Source organism: Homo sapiens, chromosome 17 (genome assembly GCF_000001405.40).
Source record: "Homo sapiens chromosome 17, GRCh38.p14 Primary Assembly".
Classification (NCBI taxonomy): domain Eukaryota; kingdom Metazoa; phylum Chordata; class Mammalia; order Primates; family Hominidae; genus Homo; species Homo sapiens.
Window position 1 is genome coordinate 15,542,472 of NC_000017.11, and position 21,012 is coordinate 15,563,483.

Here is a 21,012-nt window from a genome sequence, read left to right on the forward strand (position 1 = left end):
TTATTTTTATTTATTTATTTTTTGAGACGGAGTCTCGCTCTGTCACTCAGGCTGGAGTGCGGTGGCACGATCTCAGCTCACTGCAAACTCCGCCTCCTGGGTTCACTCCATTCTCCTGCCTCAGCCTCCCGAGTAACTGGGACTACAGGTGCCTGCCACCACACCCGGCTAATTTTTTTATTTTTAGTAGAGACAGGGTTTCACCGTGTTAGCCAGGATGGTCTCGATCTCCTGACCTCGTGATCCGCCCGCCTTGGCCCTCCCAAAGTGCTGGGATTACAGGCATGAGCCACCATGCCAAGGTCTTAACCCATTTATGCTGTAGGCTGCAATTTTGTGAATTTTTGCATGAGTGAAAAATCAGACCTTGGTGATTACCTTGAGCAGTAGGATATAAATAACTCCTACATGCTTAGCGTTCCAATAATGGAACACTAGGCATAAGTAGGTTAACACAGGATCAAACTGGCTTTCACATAACCTCTCCCTGTTTTGTTTTAAGGAAGTAGAAACACTGCTAGAAAAAGACTGGGCTCACTCTCTTGGATGGATGCTAAAGCTCTAAGGTCTTACAAACAATCCAAAGCAGAAGGGAAGAACCAGAAGAGAGTGCACAGCCAACCAGCAGACAAGAGCCCCACTAAGGAAGAGAACGCAAAACCAGGCAGCCCAGCCAAGACAGCAAGAGCCTGGTAAGTTCTCCACATCGCACATCACACCTGTGCCTTCAGGCTACCAAACCCAGCACTGCAACTCCAGCTCAGAGCAGCAGCCACGTGCCTCAGACATCAGGAGAAGGTGGTCAAGGGGGATTCACCCGCACTAAACCAGCAGAAAGAGAAGGGCTGGACAGGACTGTCACTGTAAGGATAAGCAAAATGGATAAGGAAAAAGGGAAGTGCATTTATGCAAAACTATAGCGAAAAAAGAAAAAAGAAGCATAGTATACAGAAGATAGGTGAAGAATCTACTCGAAAAGAAAAAAAACCCACCAAAATAAAAGCATTCCTGGGACTATTTCACCCTACAGAAAAACCTAAAGAAAAGAACTCAAAAAGCATGAGGGTGAGATAACAGGAGATGAAAATGGAGCTGACAAAGCTAAGGAAATACAGAGAGAAGCCTTAGCTGAGCACTTAAAATAGTTACTGTTCTCTCCTCTGCACTCTCTACCCCATTACTTTGTATCATTAACTAACATCCCCTACTGTATTTTTTACTGTTTATCTACCTTCCACTAGAACATAAGCTCTACTGGAGCAGTCAACTTGTTTACTGTCCCCTAACTTGTCCCCCTGTGTCCCCAGACAGCTCTGACATAAGAGTGAACTCTTAAAATTGCTGAATAAATAAGGAAAAGATGAATAATTAAAGCAACAAGAAAATAGTAGATGAAAACAAATAAAAATGATCCAACATAAACGTAACTGGTACTTCAAAATAAAAGGTCAAACCATAGAACATAAATAAATGCAAAGATTTAACAGAAAAAATTTTCCTGATTCCAAGCAAAACTTTAGTCTGCCTGTCAGAAAGGCACAGACTCCAGAAAACTTGATATGGAAAGATAAATACAAATACATCTGGGTTACATGAACTAAAAAAAAAAACACCTTATGAGGAGAGATTACAAAGGTTAAGTAAGCCTGGCCTCAGACTTCTCCAAGATATTCAGTGAAAGAAAATGATGGAATAGCATCCTCCAAAAAGAAACAAACTGTGACCCAAGAATATTAATCCAGCCAGGTCATCATTTAAGAATAGTCAATAGGCTCATATGTTTAAACATGAGTCAAAAGAAAATGTAGCCAACCAATAAGTAAAAGGAGAAGCTGCAATAAGACTGGTGATAGGCAATGAATTGACTTTTTTAAAAAACAGATCAAAGACTGAACAACCAGTAAGAAATATGTTTTCAAAAGATAACTATTATAAAACTTGGTAACACAAAAATAACATTGGAACAAACAAGAGAGAAAGGAGGAAACTCATAGGAAGGAATATGAGTGTTTATTTTCTTCCCTTTCTAAACAGAGTCTATTAAGTCAATAAACAGGTTTAAGTACATTAATTAATGTTACAAAGAAAACCACTAGAAGGACTAAAATAAGACTATAATAAGCAAAACTCTAGAGGTAGGAGGAGGGAGAAGTTAAAGAAACCATATTAGCGTAAAGTTTCCCATTTTCCAGAGCAGGAACTCCATAAATACTGAATACATTTCCTAATTCATGAAAGAGGGTAATGATATAACATATAAAGTAATTAAAGGTAACTACCAGAAGAACTGAAAAAAGACAATAAGCTTCCAATAAGCTTCCAAATCCAAAGAAGGAAAGTATGAATGTATGAGCACACACAAAGAAAAAAAGAATCTATATCACAAAATAGGACTAAGAAAATACTACAAATTAGGAGGAAAAACATAATTAAGGCCAAAATATATCTGATATCAATAAATATTGTGTGAAAATTCACACAATATTTATTCATATCAGATATAAGATAGAATAAGAAAAAACAATATGAGATATAAAAAAGAGTAAGACTCACAAATTGGGTCAAGTGACAAACTATATTTTCCAAAGACAGCAGCAACAATATCTCCTCTTCCACAAAGTCTTCTAGCACCTTCTTATTCCTTATCAAGAGTAGAGCCTAATTCCCATTTCCTTGAATGTGAGTGGGCAGCAGAAGCAATGCTATGACATCTTAGGCTAGATTGTAAAAGCTTGTGAGCTAGAACACCCCACAAGTGAAGTACTGGGCTGCCACGTAAGCAGTCCCACCACCATGAGGCCACCATGCCATGAGGAAGCCCAAACCAAGGCACATGGAAAAACATGTGGAGAGGCCATGGGACCTCATGAAGAGGAGATGGCTCACAACCCCCATCATTCCAACTACTGTCTGACTACAACTACTCAAGACCCCAAGCCAGAATCTCCCAGCAGAGCCCTTCCCAAGATCCTGACCCATAGAAACTGTGAGATAATGGCTGTTGTTGCTCTAAGCCACTATGTTTTGGGGTGATTTGTTAGGCAGCAATAGGTAACCAAAACAGATTACCAACCATTATTTCCAGAAAAGACCACTAATATCCTAGAAAACTGGTGGGAAGGGGTTTTTTAGGATCTCTTCTCCAGTATTATAGAGAAAGGTAAAGTTGGGAAGCAAAACTTGGGAATTACATGATGAAGCTGCCTATTCAAGATAGGTCCCTAATGATAAGGACTCAGTTGCAGTTGTTGCTTCCTATGATTACCATCAGACATCTTAATGGATTATTTGAAAGTTCTACACTGATACTCACCAGCCACTTTACTGTGAAGGAGAAGAGTGCACTAAAGGCAAATATCACCCACAGTACTGAACAGGCAATAAGTCCCAACCAAAAGATTCTTGATTCAGCCTCTGACACAGTTTTATTCTCTTGAGAGGACTCCTATAAAAGAACATAAATTCAATTATCATGTTGTGAAATTTATCAATAAAAAGTTCAACATATTTAATAAAAAACATATTACCCACAAGTTCAAATATTAATACACATAGCCCAACTCCTAAGTTAGAACCCAAAAATACATGACTATCACTCTCGTAATTTTAGGAACTGATCTATATTAACTCAAGAATTTTGCATTTTCAGGGCAGGATGGATGGTTTACCACAACTCATGACAGTAAAGAGTGGTCTCTGATAGGCTTCTATTCAATTCTTCTTGCACTTGTACTATTTATTCATAAGGAAGCTCTAAATGATACCTTTCTGACCAATGATCAAGGAAATCACAGTTATAATCATTCTGGAGACTAAAAGGTCAAATTAGGGTCCAGAGGGGAAAAAAAAAACGGAATCAAGGGATTCTGGACAATAATCAAAATGTCTTAGCAATACCCAGGAATTTACAAGGGTGGTAAGTTGTTTCCAAGGTAGATTCCATAATATAAAGGAATACAGGCTCATTGAACACAGTGCCACTTTCTTAAAATAACTTGTCAATACCCTTGGTGTACTGTCGCCAAGAATTTGGTCCTCTGCTTCCAAAACTTATTTCCACAAGGAAAGTGAATATTCACTATAGTGTAGCAGGCTAACCCAAAACAGACCAGGATCCCCAGGGCTCCTGAAGGCAGAAGCTTAGGAATAGAGTGCTCCAATCAGATATTCTATCCAGCTGCACTCCTCCTCCTTTTTCCTGCCCAGAAATGAAAGACGACCACAGGAGCAAAGACAGAACAAGATGTTAAAAGCAGTTATCTGCTGAGCATAGAGGGATTTATGGAGACACTAACAAAGGCAACACAGAGATCTTTTATCAGCAATCCCTGACAGGCAGCTTAGCACACTGTATGAACTCAGACCCAGTGTCTTCCCTCAAAGGATTCTGTTCGTATATTGCTTGTTTCTGGTCTGAACTAGACAGAAAAATGCATTAAATTCTAGAAGGCCATCTCCTTTAGTGCTGACATGCCAAGTGATTTGGTATAGTGTTTTTAATTCTGAATACTTCATCTTCCAGTATTTAAATATAGTCTACAAATAATTTAGCTGATAACATTATTTAAAACAAAAAAGGCACTTTACCTTTCTAGATTCAAACACCCAATGGCTCTTTCCATCTTCATCAATGTGATTCCACCAACGTAGGCCAACCATTAGTCTACCTGTGACATTCTGGTGAAGATTAATATAAACAGGCACATTTTAAAAGCATTATTTAAAGATCTGTCACAAGCTCCTATCTTAGTGTAACATTTCACAAACAAAAACCTTCAGCTTTACCTCCATAATATCCAGTTAGCAAAGACTACTATGTATCAGGCCTGGCTAAACGATTAAGTAAAATGGTAATGGCAGGACTAATAGGGGTAGAGGTGACAGAGCAAGCAACAAGTCCACCCATAAACATTACACCTTCTCTTTTCCCTCATGAACAATTTGCCCTTTCTCCAGTTCCCTAATTTTCCCTAAACCCCTTGCTATTTGGTTACTGTGACCTACTTTACATCCTGACTATAGCTACATATATTTTACAACTACATATCCCTGAAAATGATTATAGACACTGGCCTTCAGTCAGTCTCTCAAGTGTACCAAGCTCTTTTCCTACTTACTAAGGTAACAAATTAGTTTGATAGCTTTCCTAATCTTTATTTACTCAACAAATATTTACTGAGCATCTACTATGTGCTGGTAATACAACAGTGACTAACAGATACCAACTCCTTCCTCAGGGAAAGAGGTGAAGAGAGGCAGACAACCAATGCACAAATGTACCATTACCAACTGAGTTAAGTCCTGCAAGGGAAAAGTGTGGGATGCTTGAAGAGTATAACAGGGAAATTTGATCTAGTCTGGGTATCAGAAAATGACTCTCTGAGGAGTCAACATTTGGAATGAAATATAAAAGATAAATAAGAATCAACAGTACCATGGATGTTTAATTAATGGTGTCCACTAATAGATTCAGTGGTTCTGTGAACCTCGATGGGTAAAAAAAAATGTTACCTTCATTTTCATTAACCTCTGGCTAAAATTTAGCATATCTTTAAATTATGAATGTAGACAACAAACTATGAATGTAGGTAAAATTAAAAACACCCTGACACAATAGAAATCACAGGCATTTTTTTATTTTGTACTATATTTGCTGCAGTTACCTCAAAATATTGTAGTTTTGTTTTTTGTTTGGTTTTGTTTTTTGTTTTTGAGACAGAGTTTCGCTCTTGTTGCCCAGGCTGGCATGCAACGGGGCGATCTCAGCTCACCACAACCTCTGCCTCCCGGGTTCAAACGATTCTCCTGCCTCAGCCTCCCAAGTAGCAGGGATTACAGGCATGCGCCATCATGCCCAGCTAATTTTGTATTTTTAGTAGAGATGGGGTTTCTCCATGTCGGTCAGGTTGGTCTCGAACTCCCAACCTCAGTGATTCACCCGCCTTGGCCTCCCAAAGTGCTGGGATTACAGGTGTAAGCCACCACGCACGGCCTCAAAATACTATTTATGCTCACCACTGCTTTGAAAGTAGTTAGCATATCATTAAATTATGAATGTAGACAACAAACTATGAACATAGGTAAAATTAAAAACACCCTGACACAATAGAAACCACAGACATTTTTCATTTTGTACTATACTTGCTGCAGTTATCTTAACATATTGTTTATGCTCACCACTGCTTTGAAAGTAGTTATTAGACCTGCCACTAGATCTTACCATTAATAAATTCATAAAGTATAGTAGTCCTCCCTTATCTGCAGGGGATACATTCCAAGACCCCCAGCAGATGCCTCAAATTGTGGTTAATACCAAACCTTATATATGCTATATTTTTTCCTATAAGTACATACCTATGATAATGCTTAATTTATAAATAATGCACAGTAAGAGAATAAGAAATAAAAATAGAACAATTATAACAACATAATCTAATAAAAGTTATGTGAATGTAGTTCTCTCTCCTCACACAGTATCTTACTGTTTAGCGTAGCATATAGCAGTACTGAAACCGCAGAAAGCGAAACCTCAGATAATGGGGGAACTACTACACATATAACTCAATCAGAAATTTACTTTTTTAATATTTTTAAATTATATTTCAATATAAGTGACTTCCTTTGAAATCTTATGTATTTTATATATGTGAAAACTTATTCATGAGTTTATGAAAGGGGCCCATGGCATAAAAAGATTAGGAATCCCTGTATGAAGGTGATGTGGGAGGAAGAAGAGCATTCCAGATAGAGCAGCAGGCACTGATGCCCTAATGAAGAAAGTACAATCTATGGATTTATGGGACTTGGTCATTAATTGGATATGGAGTAGGAAGGAGGCAACTGATACATTTACGGTTTGCTCAAGTAAAAAAATAGTGATTCCAGGCCCCACGAAAGGGAACACTCAAAGAAGAAGAGCTTTTGGGGAGTGGAAGATGACAAGTAGTATTTTACACATGTTAAGATATAAGATGCCTGGCCAGGCATGGTGGCTCACTTGGGTTCAAGACCAGCCTGGCTAACATAGTGAAACCCTGCCTCTACTAAAAATACAAAAATTCGCTAGGGATGGTGGTGCATGCCTGTAGTCTCAGCTATCTAGGAGGGTGAGGCAGGAGAATCACTTGAACCCCGGGAGGCAGAGGTTGCAGTGAGCCAAGATCACACCACTGCATTCCAGCTTGCGTGACAAAGCAAGATTTTGTCTCAAAAAAAAAAAAAAGATTTGAGATGCCTTCAAGACAGCCACATAAAAACGTCAAGAAGACACATGGAGAGGCCTTAAGTTGTGAGGACAAACCTGAATGGAGATACAGATCTGGGAGGCAACACAGCTTACAGATCAGCAATTCAAACCAGAAGCACAGACAGCACTCCTTAGGAAGGGAATACAGGAGAAGAAAAGGAAGAGTCTTATGAGACCAAAATTCCTATGGGAGAGATGCTAAGTAAAAAAAAAAAAGAGCTGGCAAGGGAGACCTAAACCAGAGGTCTCTTCTATAGGTATTTTCAAAGAATGCTCTCAGAATACTTTCAAACTCTTCTGTTTCCATTTTCTAACTCTTTATTTCCTGCTTTTATCTTTATTAGTTTATTTTCCTGATTTCTCACACTTATTGCTTGTTTTTGAAATTTCTGGACTCAAGTAGTCCATTATTTTCCCTCTTTCTTGTCTAAAATAAAAGGCTTTAGTCTATTATTTTCCCTCTGAATTCAGTTTTTGACATATTCAGAAAGTTTAACTGTAAATGATCACCATTAAGGTATAAATAACTTATATTTACAGTTTTTGCTTCCTTTTAAACCCAAGATATGTAGTAGTTCGCTTTTTTAAAAGAATTCCAATTTCAACAACTACTTTCTATTAATTTCTAGTTCTGTTTCTTTGGAGTAGAAAATGTAGGTGCTTTGGGCAATTTTATTTTGATTTTCTTCACAGTGATATTTAGTCAATTTTTGTAAATGTTCCACAGGCATTTAACAAGAAAGTATTCTCTCTGTCATACAAAGTCCCAAATACTGCTATCAAATTGATGTTGCCAATTATTTCATTCAGATCCTTCAGAACTTATTTATTTTTTGGCACTTTGGTTTGTTTAAGATAGTAGTTTGTTAAACTCATCATAATGCTTTTCTATTTTCTAATATTTCCAATTTTTTTACTATACATAGTTTGATATAATTTTACTCTGTGAATGATCTTCACTGTGATTCATAAAATCACCTTTTTTTGTTCCTCTTAGTGCTTTCTTACTCTGATCCATATCTCATCTGATAATAATACAATGCCAAGTTTCTTTTTGTTTGAGTTGATCTTTGCCTTCTTTTATTTTTGCCTGATGTTATCTTTGCCTTCTTTTGTTTTTTCTAATGTCATTAATTTGGTTAGATCTTTTGTTTGGACTTTGATTTCTGACCAATCTTAGTATTCTTGTCTTTAAATGGGTAGTTTAATCAAATTACATTTCCTATTATAATGAATTTGCTATTACTTACATCACTTTATACATGTACTCTCTGATTTAAGCTTCCTTGACAGTTGCTTTGTTTTCCTTCTTTTGCTCTATGAACTGTTTTACTTGCTCCATCTTCTCCAATGTTGCAGAAGATACACGACTGGTTTTAAATTTTACTAATAGTTGCCATTATTGTTTTTTTTTTTTGAGATGGAGTCTTGCTCTGTTGCCCAGGCTAGAGTGCAGTGGCGCGATCTCGGCTCACTGCCAAGCTCCGCCTCCTGCCTCAGCCTCCTGAATAGCTGGGACTACAGGCGCCTGCCACCATGCCCGGCTCATTTTTTTTTTTTTTTTTTTTTTAGCAGAGATGGGGTTTCACCATGTTAGCCAGGATGGTCTCGATCTCCTGACCTCATGATCCACCCGCCTCAGCCTCCCAAAGTGCTGGGATTATAGGCATGAGCCACCGCGCCCAGCCATAGTTGCCATTAAATTTTTAAAGCCATTATTTAACCTTTTTTACTCAATTTGTCAGAGTGAAGAATAAAATAAAAACCAATATAAGCTTTAGCATTTAAGCATACCTTTAAATTATTTTCCCTTCTCTACCTCTTCTTTATCTTCATTAACATCACCTAGGGCAAGCCTATCCAACCCTCTGCCCACAGGCCTCATGCTGCCCAGGACAGCTTTGAATGCGGCCCAAGAGAAATTCGTAAACTTTCTTAAAACATTATGAGATTTTTTTGTGTGCGATTTTTTTTTTAAGCTCATCAGCTAATGTTAGTGTATTTTATGTGTGGCCCAAGATAATTCTTTCTTCCACTGTGGCCCAGGGAAACCAAAAGATTGGACACCCAGGGGTTTAGATGAAGATTGATTTTTTGTTTTTTTAGTAAGTACATTGAGATTTATAACAATTACGACACATCTCCATTTTAACTGTTTCAGAACCCTGCTTATCCCAAGTCCACTTAATAATTTCCCTATTCTTGACTTCTTAATTTTGCTTCATATCTCCATTGTTTTGCTATCTATAAGTAATTTTGCCAAGGATAAAAGGGTGCCATTTTTTAAGCTCTTGTTTAAAAACAAAAATAAACAAACAAATAAACCTTATCAGAAAATAAACTATTTTGATCGCATTTTTTAAAACTCTAAACCCAGAAAAATTTTAAGAATTTGGAAATTACCAGGAAGAACTGACTGGAAAGCATGTTCTATTTGGCTAAACAGAAATTTTATGAACAACAAAAAGAAACGTGTATCAAAACTGTGAGCAGTATGTACTAAATACTTTGGAGCATAAAGTAACAGAAGAAATTCAAAGAAATGCAAGCCAAAGAAGACTGGACAAAAGAAAAACCTAAAGAAAACAGACCTTTGAAATCTTCCTTCTCAGCATTATGCGGCCTACGGAAACTGGCCATCACCAAGCCAACCACTTCAGATATCTTTAAGAATTAAAAGATGGCCAGGCGCAGTGGCTCACGCCTGTAATCCCAGCACTTTGGGAGGCTGAGGCGGGCAGATCACTTGACGTCAGAAGTTCGAGACCAGCCTGACCAACATGGAGAAACCCCGTCTGTACTAAAAATACAAAAAAATTAGCCAGGCGTGGTGGTGCATGCCTGTAATCCCAGCTACTCGGGAGTCTGAGGCAGGAGAATCACCTGAACCCAGGAGGCAGAGGTTGCGGTGAGCCAAGATCATGCCATTGCACTCCAGCCTGGGCAACAAAAGTGAAACTCCGTCTCAAAAAAAAAAGAATTAAAAGATCTAAAAATGGCTACATTGGTGGATGTGAATAGGGTTGTAACATCTTACTAGTCTTTGAATCAGTATATGTCTCTGAAACTCCAAAATCAGCCTTTGATTTTTTTCTCCACTATTTTACTATATTTTCGAACACACACAGTTAAATTTTACAGTGAATACCCAAATATCTATCATCTAGAGTCCATATTTAATATTTTATTATGCTTACTTATCTATTTATTATGTACCTATCTATCCATCCATCCATCTCTCTAATCATTGTTCTTGAGTTTGAAACCATTTCTTACACTCCTTTCTATCCCCTACAGCAGGGTGTCTCAACCTTGGCACAACTGACATTTTGGGTCAGGTAGTTCTTTGTTGCAGAGGGGCCGTCCTGTGTGTTAGGATATTTAGCAGCATACCTGCCCTCTAGCCACTAGATGTCAATAGCACACTCCTCCCACCTCCAGTCATGACAACCAAAAACAATTTTGGACACTGACAAATATTCAGTGGGTGGCAAGCTTGTCTCTGGTTGAGAAACACTGCCTTAAAGCATCCATAGGAGCCTTTTCAAAAGGTAGGTATTTTTTAGGTATTTGTGGACAAACTACACTGGGGCCTTATCTAGAAATTATATACAACACACCTACAGGTAAGCCTGAAGCAAAACCCATGGTATGGATTAGAAGCAACATTGTAGGGTCTATGGTTGCTAGTCACATTTGTTTGTTTATTTGACTTTAAAGCTGATGTAGGTTAGAATATGGCACAGAAAAATCAGCAGCACAGTAACCTACATGTCTCATCTTGTATTGTCAAAGGGAAAAAATGAAAAAAAAAAAAAAAAACTACATGCAATTTGATATATCTAGCACTTCAACACAGATGAGGTTTGAAGTAACAAAAGATTAACAATAATGCAAAATGCTGTCATATTTTTATACATCATTTTCATATTAAATATAATTTTAAAATAAAAACAATCAAAATTACCTTCACTGCCCAAAAGTCACACGACAACAACAAGATAATTGTAACCATACAGGTAATAAAGCTGCTGCTGAGCAACTCACAGAGAAGACAGACGATGATTGCACTGACTCGAAAGAATAAGTGGAAAAACGATGCTACTGGATGTCTGAAAACCAAAACACAATGAAAGAAATGCAATTACATTTTACTACAGGTACTAGCAAATGTAGAGAAAAATGTTTTAGCCATCGTGTAACTGTGAAGAGTTTTGTCAAAATAAAAGAGGTGACTTTAGTAGGAGGAAGCAAACCTCCTAGCTCTCTTTTTCTTAAGCCCCACTATTTGACTAGGCCCTATAGTGACAGAAAATACACTATGCACAGATGACTTTAACACCTCATTGAATATAAACTTTCACAAAATAGATAATAAAGAATTTTACCTCTCTTGGAGAAATAAGGAAACCGTATCTTAGAATTTGAATCCTATTTTCAAATCACGCCAAAAGAATTCCTTAGCCCTCAGAAATCACTCAGACATTAAGACAAAGTTATCAGGTAGTTTGTTTGTTTCTTTTTTTTTTTTTTTTTTTGAGACGGAGTCTCGCTCCGTCGCCCAGGCTGGAGTTTGGTGGCGCAATCTCGGCTCACTGCAAACTTCACCTCCTGGGTTCACGCCATTGTCCTGCCTCAGCCTCCCAAGTAGCTGGGACTACAGGCGCCTGCCACCACGCCCGGCTAATTTTTTGTATTTTTAGTAGAGATGGGGTTTCACCATGTTAGCCAGGATGATCTCAATCTCCTGACCTCGTGATCCACCTGCCTCGGCCTCCCAAAGTGCTGGGATTACAGGCGTGAGCCATCGCGCCCAGCCTGTTTCTTGTTTTTTAATAGCTTTTTTGAGATATAATTCACATATCATACAATTTACTTATTTAAGGTAAACAATCTAATGGTTTTTAGTACATTCACAGATTTGTACAACCATCACTCCAATTTTACAACTTTTCATTACCCCAGACAGAATCTTTGCACCCACTGGCAGTCATTCCCCATTTACCTTCAAACCCCTCAGCTTCTAGCAACAGCTAATCTATCTTCTGTCTCTACAGATTTGCCTATTCTGGACATTTCATATAAATGAAATCATACAATATGTGGTCTTTTGTGACTGGCATGAAAGATGAAAGAAAAGTAAAAAACAGCATTTTAGCAGGGTTCAAGTAGAATTTGCTTTCGATAAGTGAATTTATTTAGAGAGAATTAAATTTAGAATAGAAATGTTATGTGATTTTGAAATGTGCACAATAAATCAAAATGTAAAGTATCTACAGAAACTATATAAAGAAATGGTACATTCTTGGAAAATAGCACAGAATTAAAAACACAGGTGTTCAAATAATTGGATTTGCTGATTTTAAAACTCAGTATTAAGTATGCCAATTATTCACAAGAAAATCTGAAATGTCATCTTTGTCTTACACTAAATGTTAAATTAGCAACATGCAGTATTCACAAGCACATTGAAACAACTCTGCCTTGACTCCCATCAGCTAGCACTGACATACATACAGAACAACACTGGACACTAACACAGCTCATGCAACTTCTCCTCCTACCTGATTTTGGCTTTTCTTGGTCTATTAGTCGTCTCCTCTTCCGCATCAAACAGTGAAACATCTTCAGTGTCATCATTACTATCCTGGTTGGAAAAATAAATGGTCAAGAAGCAAAACAAAATTCAGTGTTTACACAGCCACTGCAATGCAAAGCTGCATACTCATCAAAATAGAAGATAAAATAATGTGGTTACAGCATCAGGAATTCAAAACCTAGAAAAGGACACATGCAGATCCTCCACCCGCCTCCTCAAATCATCTGGCAAAAACCCCAGAGAATAATCGAAGTCTCAGCTCCTCCATCCCTGCCCCTAGGCTGCACCATCTGAGAAAACTCTGGGGTGCAGATGAGGCTACTACAACTTAACACCTGTCCTCCTCACCTGTTCTCTCCCAAGTCACAGAGCAAGCCGAGGCTACTGGGGATAATCTCAAGGTTTCTGGCTCCTTCACAAAATCATCTGACTGCATCCTTAGTTCCATGACCCCTTCTCACAACTCCTCCTCTTCTTATCCAAGGCTAAACCAATTATTTGTGCTCAGAATAACTTCTTTTCATGCCTCCTCGGGGATTTGTTTCATCATTTTCCCCTGTATTTACACTTTCTTCTATCTTCAAGTCTATCTATTGGATCTTTCTTTTTTGTTGTTGTTGAAATGGGGTTTTGCTCATCACCCAGGCTGGAGTACAATGGCACGATCTTGGCTCACTGCAACCTCCGCCTCCCGGGTTCAAACGATTCTCCTGCTTCAGCCTTCCAAGTTGCTGGGATTACAGGCGTGTGCCACCACACCCAGCTAATTTTCATATTTTTAGTTGAGACGGGGTTTCACCATGTTGGCCAGGCTGGTCTTGAACTCCTGACCTCAGGTGATCTGTCCGCCTCAGCCTCCCAAAGTGCTGGGATTACAGGCCTGAGCCACCACGCCTGGCCTCTATTGAATCTTTCTAATCAGCATATGCATATAAACTTCTTCAAGGCCACTTATTAGGCAAAAAAAGATTTTTTTAAGAACCCTGATCCTGAATCTCCTCTTCAATCCTCTACCTTCCCAAAGCATTGCTTCCTTTTACCTTAGGCTTTTTTTTTTTTTTTTGAGATGGAGTCTTGCTCTGTCGCTCAGGCTGGAGTGCAGTGGCGTGGCCTCAACTCACTGCAACCTCTGCCTCCTGGGTTCAAGTGATTCTCCTGCCTCACCTTCCCAAGTAGCTGGGACTACAGGCGCGTGCCACCATGCCTGGCTAATTTTTTGTATTTTTTTAGTAGAGACAGGTTTCACCGTGTTAACCAGGAGATTTCATGACCTTGTGATCCACCCGCCTCGGCCTCCCAATTGCTGGGATTACAGGCGTGAGCCACCATGCCCGGCCCCATAACCTTAGGCTTCTAAGAGTGGTTCACACCTCAATTCACTGCAATTCCCCTCAACTACAACAAACCTGATCCTGTTCCTCTCCTAGCGCCACTCACCAGCCTCCCTGCCTTTATCCCTCTCTATTCCAGCCTCTCCTTTACATTACCCAGAGCAATCCTCCCAATATGGAAATCACACCATGTCACTCTACTGCTCAAATTTTTCAATGGCATCCCTACAAGTATAGGATAAAATTTAACTCCTTCACATAAAGCATAGAAGATCACAGAATCTAATGCCCCCTACTTGCTTCTGACACTGTCTTCATTGAGCACTGTTGAGCACTGAAGCAATACTGTTACTACATGGTCTCTAAGAACACTACGGTCTCTCTCCCATCTCCTGCCTTTCACATGTTGTCTCAGAAAACTCTTCCCTTCCCCATGCCCTGCTCACCACCAAATACCAAATCATCCTTCAAGTTTTTTAGCTCAAATACTGAAATAGCTGAAAACCTGTCTCTGAAATCCCCATGTTCCCACAGCACTTGGACGAATCTCCATTTGAACAATTATCTCAGAGTATTCTTATTGCACATCTACCCGCTCCTACCTCCATATAGATTAAGCTGCTGGAGGACCTAGAAGACAAGGTTTTTTTTTTTTTTTTTTGAGACAGAGTCTTGCTCTGTCGCCCAGGCTGGAGTACAGTGGTATGGTCTCAGCTTACTGCAACCTCCACCTCCTGGGTTCAAGCTAGATTCTAGTGCCTCAGCCTCCTGAGTAACTGGGATTACAGGAGTGTGTCTCGGCTAATTAGCCTGGCTAATTTTTGTAATTTTAGAAGAGACAGAGTCTCACCACGTTGGCCAGGCTGGTTTCAAACTCCTGACCTCCAGGGATCCGCCCACCTCACCCCCCCATAGTGCTGGGATTATAGGTGTGAGCCACCACGCCCAACCAAGACTGTCTTTGCATTGTAGTAAATCCTAGTGTCTAGCAGAGCATTCAGCCAAGTGGTACAGTATTTGTTGAAGGCATGAGTAAATAAGCAAAGGAGACGATAATATACAGCTGACTGTGATCAGGGCTGAGAAATCTAAGTGCAAATGGGAGCCAGGGAAGGAAGCAAATCATTCCTACTACAGGGCACTGGAGAAGCTTTCTGGAGGAGAGTTTGTCAGCTGGGCCCTGACAGTCCGCGTAGGCCTCCCTAGACTAGGTATATTTTGAAAGGCACAGGTGGGAATACAGGAAGTTTGTCTAAGAAATGGTCAAGTAGCTCATGCAGTAAGTGATGGATGCGAGAAGCTCCTACTGAGCTAAGGCTGAAAAGGTAAAATGGATTCAGATCTATGAAACTAGTGGTTCTCAACCTTGGCTACAATTAGAATGCTCTTTTTCTTAAAAAACAAACAAACAAACAAAAAAAGGCTGATACTTGGGTCCAGCCCTCAGTGGTTCAGATATAATTGCTTTGAGGTGTGATCATAACGTACAGCAAGACTGAGATCCACCGTATGATGTTATGAATAAAAAGCTGAGGCCTTCTGCTCTCGATCCCAACAGTCTAATCGCCATCCAGCGGCCAGGGAGACTTTTTCACATCAAATCCTATCATTCCCCTACTGAAACCTCTCAGCACTATGACTGAAAAACAGACTCCCTATCATGACCTATCATGATCTGGTCCCTGCCAATCTCTAAGACCTTATCTCAGGCCACTCACTCTTCATTAACTGTGGTAGGCTGAATACCTCCTCACCCCTCCCAAAAATGTTTAGGTTCTAATCTCTGGAACCTGTGAATATGTAAATTTACTTGGCAAAAAGAATTTCACAGATGAGATTAAGTTAAGGATCTTGAGGTCAAGAGATCATCCTGGATTACCCAGGCTGGTCAGATGACATGATTACAATGGTCCTTACAAGGGAAACAAAGGAGGGTCAGTGAGAGAAGGTGATGAAACAAGCAAAGTAGAGGTGAGAGACAGAGATTTGAACAGGCTGTGCTGATGGCATTAAGATGGGGAAGGGATCCCAGGTGTTTAGAAGCTGAATCAGGCAAGGAAACTGATTCTCCAGAACCCCTACCCACACCTTGATGTTTAACCCCTTGAGCCTCATTCTGGACTTCTGACCACCAGAACTTTACAACAGTACATATGACTTCACTGCCGCAGTAGCAACAGGAAATTTATACAGTACCTAAGCTCCTGCCAGACTGGCCATTTTTTTTTTTTTTTTTGACACAGGGTCTGGCTCTCGCCCAGGCTGGAGTGCAGTGGAACAATCAGGGGTCACTACTGCAGGCTCTACATCTCAGCCTCCTGAGTACTGCAAGCCACCATATCTAATATTTTAATTTCTTGCAGAAATAGGGTCTCGTTATGTTGCCCAGGCTAGTCTCAAACTCCCGGGCTCAAGCAATTCTCCTGCCTTAGCCTCCCAAAGTGCTACGATTAGAGGCATGAGCCACCATGCCCAGGCTGGCCTTCTTTTCAGTTCCTTAAACATGCCAAACTTGGGCCCCGTCAGGTTCTTTTGCACTTATGGTTCATATTACCTAGAACACTATTCTCTTACCCTGCTCTTTGAAAGACTGATTTCTTCTCATTTATTCAGTAAATACTGAGTGCCTACCAAGTGCCAGGTACTGCTGTAAGTGGTACAGATTTAAAAAAAAAAAAAAAAAAAAAAAGACAAATAGCTCTGCACTCCTGGAGTTACATTTACTAAGATGGGGAAGACCATGGACACAAAAGATTTCGGGGCAAAATCAGCAGTTTGATTTTGGACATTTTAAGATGCTAAACGACATTTTAAGATGCTAAAACCAAAAAAGCATTGAAAGGGAGATCCATTGGAGTGTTTTAAGTGTAAGACTGCATGTTCTGACTCACCTGTTAGAAAGAGAATTCTGGCTACTGTAGTAAAAATCTGGAGGGGGAGGGGAGAAGAAGGAGGGACAAAAGCACAACGCTAGGAGACTGGTTAGGAAACTACTTTAATCACGAGGCCAAGAAGTAGTGGCTTGGTCTAAGATGGATGCAGTGGAGGTGATGAGAAATAGATTCCAAGTACATTTTAAGGTAGAGCTGACAGGATTTGCTGATGGACTGACTGACTGGGGAGGTGGAGGAAGGGTAAATAAAAGGAATCAAGGAAGATTCCAAAGTTTTTGTCCTGAACAACTAAAAAGATAAAGATGGCTAAGACAGACTCCTGGCATTCCAATAATTAGAGATCACAAAGATAAGAAGGAATAGGCTGTGGGGACTGAAAAAGAAGTACCAAGGAACATAAGGTGAGCCAGGAGGGGGTAGTGTCCTGGAAACCAAACAAAGTGCCTCCAGGAGGAGGATCCATCATCTGTGTCAAATGCTACTCATAAGTAAGATGAAAACCAAAGAGAGACCACTGTATTTTTTTTTCTTTTTTTTGAGACGGAGTCTCGCTCTGTCGCCAGGCTGGAGTGCAATGGTGTGATCTTGGCTCACTGCAACCTCCGCCTCCCGGGTTCAAGGGACTCCCCTGCATCAGCCTCAGCCTCCCGAGTAGCTGAGACTACAGGCACATGCCACCACCCCCAGGTAATTTTTGTATTTTTAGTAGAGACGGGGTTTCACCATGTTGGCCAGGATGGTCTCCATCTCTTGACCTCATGATCCACCCACCCTGGCCTCCCAAAGTGCTGGGATTACAGCCATGAGCCCTGCGCCCAGCCATGACCACTGTATTTTTAACAGGTCATCGGGGAACTCAGTAAGAGCAGTTCCAGTACAGTTGGGAGAGGGGAAGAGAGACTGACTAGAATGAATACAAGAGAGACTGGAAGAATTAAAAGACAAGTATATATGATACAAGTCTTTAAAGGAAAAAGAATGGAGTGACCAGTGAAAGAGCATGTGGTGTCAAGTTTGTTTTTTTTGTTTGTTTGTTTGTTTTGAGACGGAGTCGCCCAGGCTGGAGTGCAGTGGCACGATCTCGGCTCACTGCAAGCTCCGCCTCCCAGGTTTACGCCATTCTCCTGCCTCAGCTTCCCGAGTAGCTGGGACTACAGCTGCCCACCACCACCCCTGGCTAATTTGTTGTTTTTCAGTACAGACGGGGTTTCACCGTGTTAGCCAGGATGGTCTCGATCTCCTGACCTCGTGATCCACCCGCCTCGGCCTCCCAAAGTGCTGGGATTACAGGTGTGAGCCACCGCACCCGGCCAAGTTTTCATTTTTTAAGGTAAGAGAAATTAAAACACGTTTATATGTTGATGTGAGCAAACGTTTAAAAGGATTAAAAAACTGATGATGCAAGAAAGAGAATTACTAGAACAATGCCTTCCAGTAGGCAAGAGGAGATGGAAACCAGGACACAGTAGACAGGAAGACCTAAGAATGGAGCACTGACAGTCCAATTATCATAAAAGAATATGAGACCCTGAGTAAACATGCAAATAAATAGGCAGCTAGTGTGAAAATTGTCTTCCGACGGCTTCCATTTTCAGTGAAACAAGAAGCAACGTTACCAGCTGAGAGAGGATAAGAGAAGAAACGTTGAAGATTTGAGTTTTAATAGTTGCCTAAGGCGAGAGGGTGAAGGGGCTATGGAAATGTAGAATGACCGCCTGGCAGCACTAAGGGCTCGACTGAGGTTCACATCACAAACTTATCAAGTGGGAACAGTCGGCCGGGCCTGGCGGCTCACGCCTGTAATCCTAGCACTTTGGAAGGCCGAGGCGGGTGGATAACCTGAGGTCAGGAGCTCAAGACCAGCCTGGTTAATATGGTGAAACCCCATCTCTACTAAAAATACAAAAATTAGCCGGGCATGGTGGCGGGCGCCTGTAATCCCAGCTACTCTGGAGGGTGAGGCAGAAGAATCGCTTGAAGCCGGGAGACGGAGGTTGCAGTGAGCCGAGATCACACCATTGTACTCCAGCCTGGGCAACAAGAGTGAAACTCCGTCTCATAAATGAATGAATGAATGAATGAATGAATGAATAAATAAATAAATAAATAAATAAATAAATAAATAGTGGGAACAGTCAACATGGTTGTGTTTCTCCAGCCTCATCCGGCCTGGGCGCAGGTTCAAATGTCAGAAGCATGTGAACCTGAACAACTCCATCTTCAATAGGAGCTGGGTAAAATGAGGCTGAAACCTACTGGGCTGCATTCCCAGACAGGGCATTCTAAATCACAGGATGAGATGTGAGGTCGGCACAAAATACAGGTCATAAAGACCTTGCTGAAAAAACAGGTTGCAATAAAGGAGCCAACCAAAACCCACCAAGACCAAGATGGCCACGAGAGTGACCACTGGTCGTCCTCACTACTAGACTCCCAACAGCGCCATGCCAGTTTACAAATGCCATGGCAACATCAGGAAGTTACTCTCTATGATCTAAAAGGGGAGGAATGAATAATCCACCCCTTATTAACCATATCACTAAGAAATACCCATAAAAATGGGCCACCAGCAGCCCTCCAGGCTGCTCTATGGAGTAGCCATTCCTTTACTTTCTTAATAAACTTGCTTTCACTTTGCACTGTGGACTCACCCTGAATTCCTTCTTGCCTGATCCAAGACTTTTTTTGTTTTGTTTGAGACGGAGTCTCCCTCTGTAGCCAGGCTGGATGGAGTGCAGTGGCCCGCGGCTCACTGCAACCTCGGCCTCCCCAGTTCAAGCGATTCTCCTGCCTCAGCCTCCCGAGTAGCTGGGACTACAGGCGTGCATCATCACGCCCAACTAATTTTTGTATTTTTAGTAGAGACAGGGTTTCACCAAGTTGGCCAGGATGGTCTCGATCTCTTGACCTCATGATCCACCCACCTCGTCCTCCCAAAGTGCTGGGATTACAGGCCTGAGTCACCACGCCCGGCCAAGGACCCTCTTTTCGGGTCTGGATCGGGACACCTTTCCTGTAATACAGCTGAATTTAACCATTATTAGATTTTCTCCACTCAAGGCATCTCCTCATAAGCAGTCTTTCCTGACCATAAATCTTAGTTGTCCTATCCTCGGACACTTGTTATTTCATCACCCTGCCTTTGCAATTATCTGAAAATATCTTTGGTTATACAATTTATCGTGTCTCCCCACCCAACCCCCATCTCCTAGAACCCACTTCCCTAACCCGAAAATACGGGGCAAGAAACCTGTCTGTACTGGTCACAACCCTATCCCTGGGCCTACAACCGTGTCTGAGTCATAGTAATCCCTCAACAAATTTTGTGTGAACCGAAAGAAAAAAACACTTAAGACAATCTAAGTGACCATAAACAGTAGTTTTTTCTAAAAATATTATTAATCTTACGAGTCTCTGGTTGCCAACATGTGGACTACAATTAACTCTAAGAGCACAAAGGAGAGAATCACCAACAACATTAGTTTGGAAACAGCAATTTGAAAGCGAGGCTCTGGCGGTGTCGCCGATTCCTACAAGATAGCATCGCACCCCTGGGTGTCAGGAAGCTAAGAGGCCCGCAGGCCGCTCCTCCTCAACTCCACCCCGGCAATAAGGGTTGAGGAAAGAGAGACCCCCACTCGCGCTGGTTAACAATGGGCGTCCCCACAGCCGCAAGAAGTACTTGCTCTGCGCCGCACGGGTCACGCCTCCCCCAGCGGCCTCAGAACCCCCAGCAGCCCTCCTCAGACAACTACCCACAGCCCTCCACTCCCGGCCGCCCCGCTCCTCCTCGAGTTCGAGTAGCGGGCGCGGGGGACGCGGGCTCCAGTCCCACGGAACCTGCAGAGCCAGTCCCAGGAGCCGCCACCCTCCCAGCGCGCCCTCAGCCCCTCACCTGCTGCAACATGGCGGCCCTACGCCAGCCCTGCTTCCAGGAGCCAC

At 41.2% G+C, this 21,012-nt stretch overlaps 2 protein-coding genes across 4 annotated transcripts in view; both read right to left on the minus strand.

Annotated features, from left to right (window-relative positions):
* Nucleotides 1-21,012, minus strand: part of TVP23C-CDRT4 (TVP23C-CDRT4 readthrough) — a 127,469-nt gene extending 106,457 nt beyond the window's left edge. The window contains exons 1-5 of one of the 2 annotated variants that reach the window (NM_001204478.2): nucleotides 20,966-21,012; nucleotides 12,811-12,893; nucleotides 11,214-11,358; nucleotides 4,588-4,677; nucleotides 3,314-3,445 (exon numbers count right to left, since the gene is read on the minus strand). In NM_001204478.2, the coding sequence (NP_001191407.1) occupies nucleotides 3,314-3,445; nucleotides 4,588-4,677; nucleotides 11,214-11,358; nucleotides 12,811-12,893; nucleotides 20,966-20,977 (462 nt within the window). In that variant the 5' untranslated portion in view covers nucleotides 20,978-21,012. The remainder of the gene's footprint in view (nucleotides 1-3,313; nucleotides 3,446-4,587; nucleotides 4,678-11,213; nucleotides 11,359-12,810; nucleotides 12,894-20,965) is intronic. The other variant, NR_037924.2, reaches the window with a different exon arrangement.
* Nucleotides 1-21,012, minus strand: part of TVP23C (trans-golgi network vesicle protein 23 homolog C) — a 61,220-nt gene extending 40,208 nt beyond the window's left edge. For both annotated transcript variants that reach the window (NM_145301.3, NM_001135036.2), the window contains exons 1-5: nucleotides 20,966-21,012; nucleotides 12,811-12,893; nucleotides 11,214-11,358; nucleotides 4,588-4,677; nucleotides 3,314-3,445 (exon numbers count right to left, since the gene is read on the minus strand). In NM_145301.3, the coding sequence (NP_660344.2) occupies nucleotides 3,314-3,445; nucleotides 4,588-4,677; nucleotides 11,214-11,358; nucleotides 12,811-12,893; nucleotides 20,966-20,977 (462 nt within the window). In that variant the 5' untranslated portion in view covers nucleotides 20,978-21,012. The remainder of the gene's footprint in view (nucleotides 1-3,313; nucleotides 3,446-4,587; nucleotides 4,678-11,213; nucleotides 11,359-12,810; nucleotides 12,894-20,965) is intronic.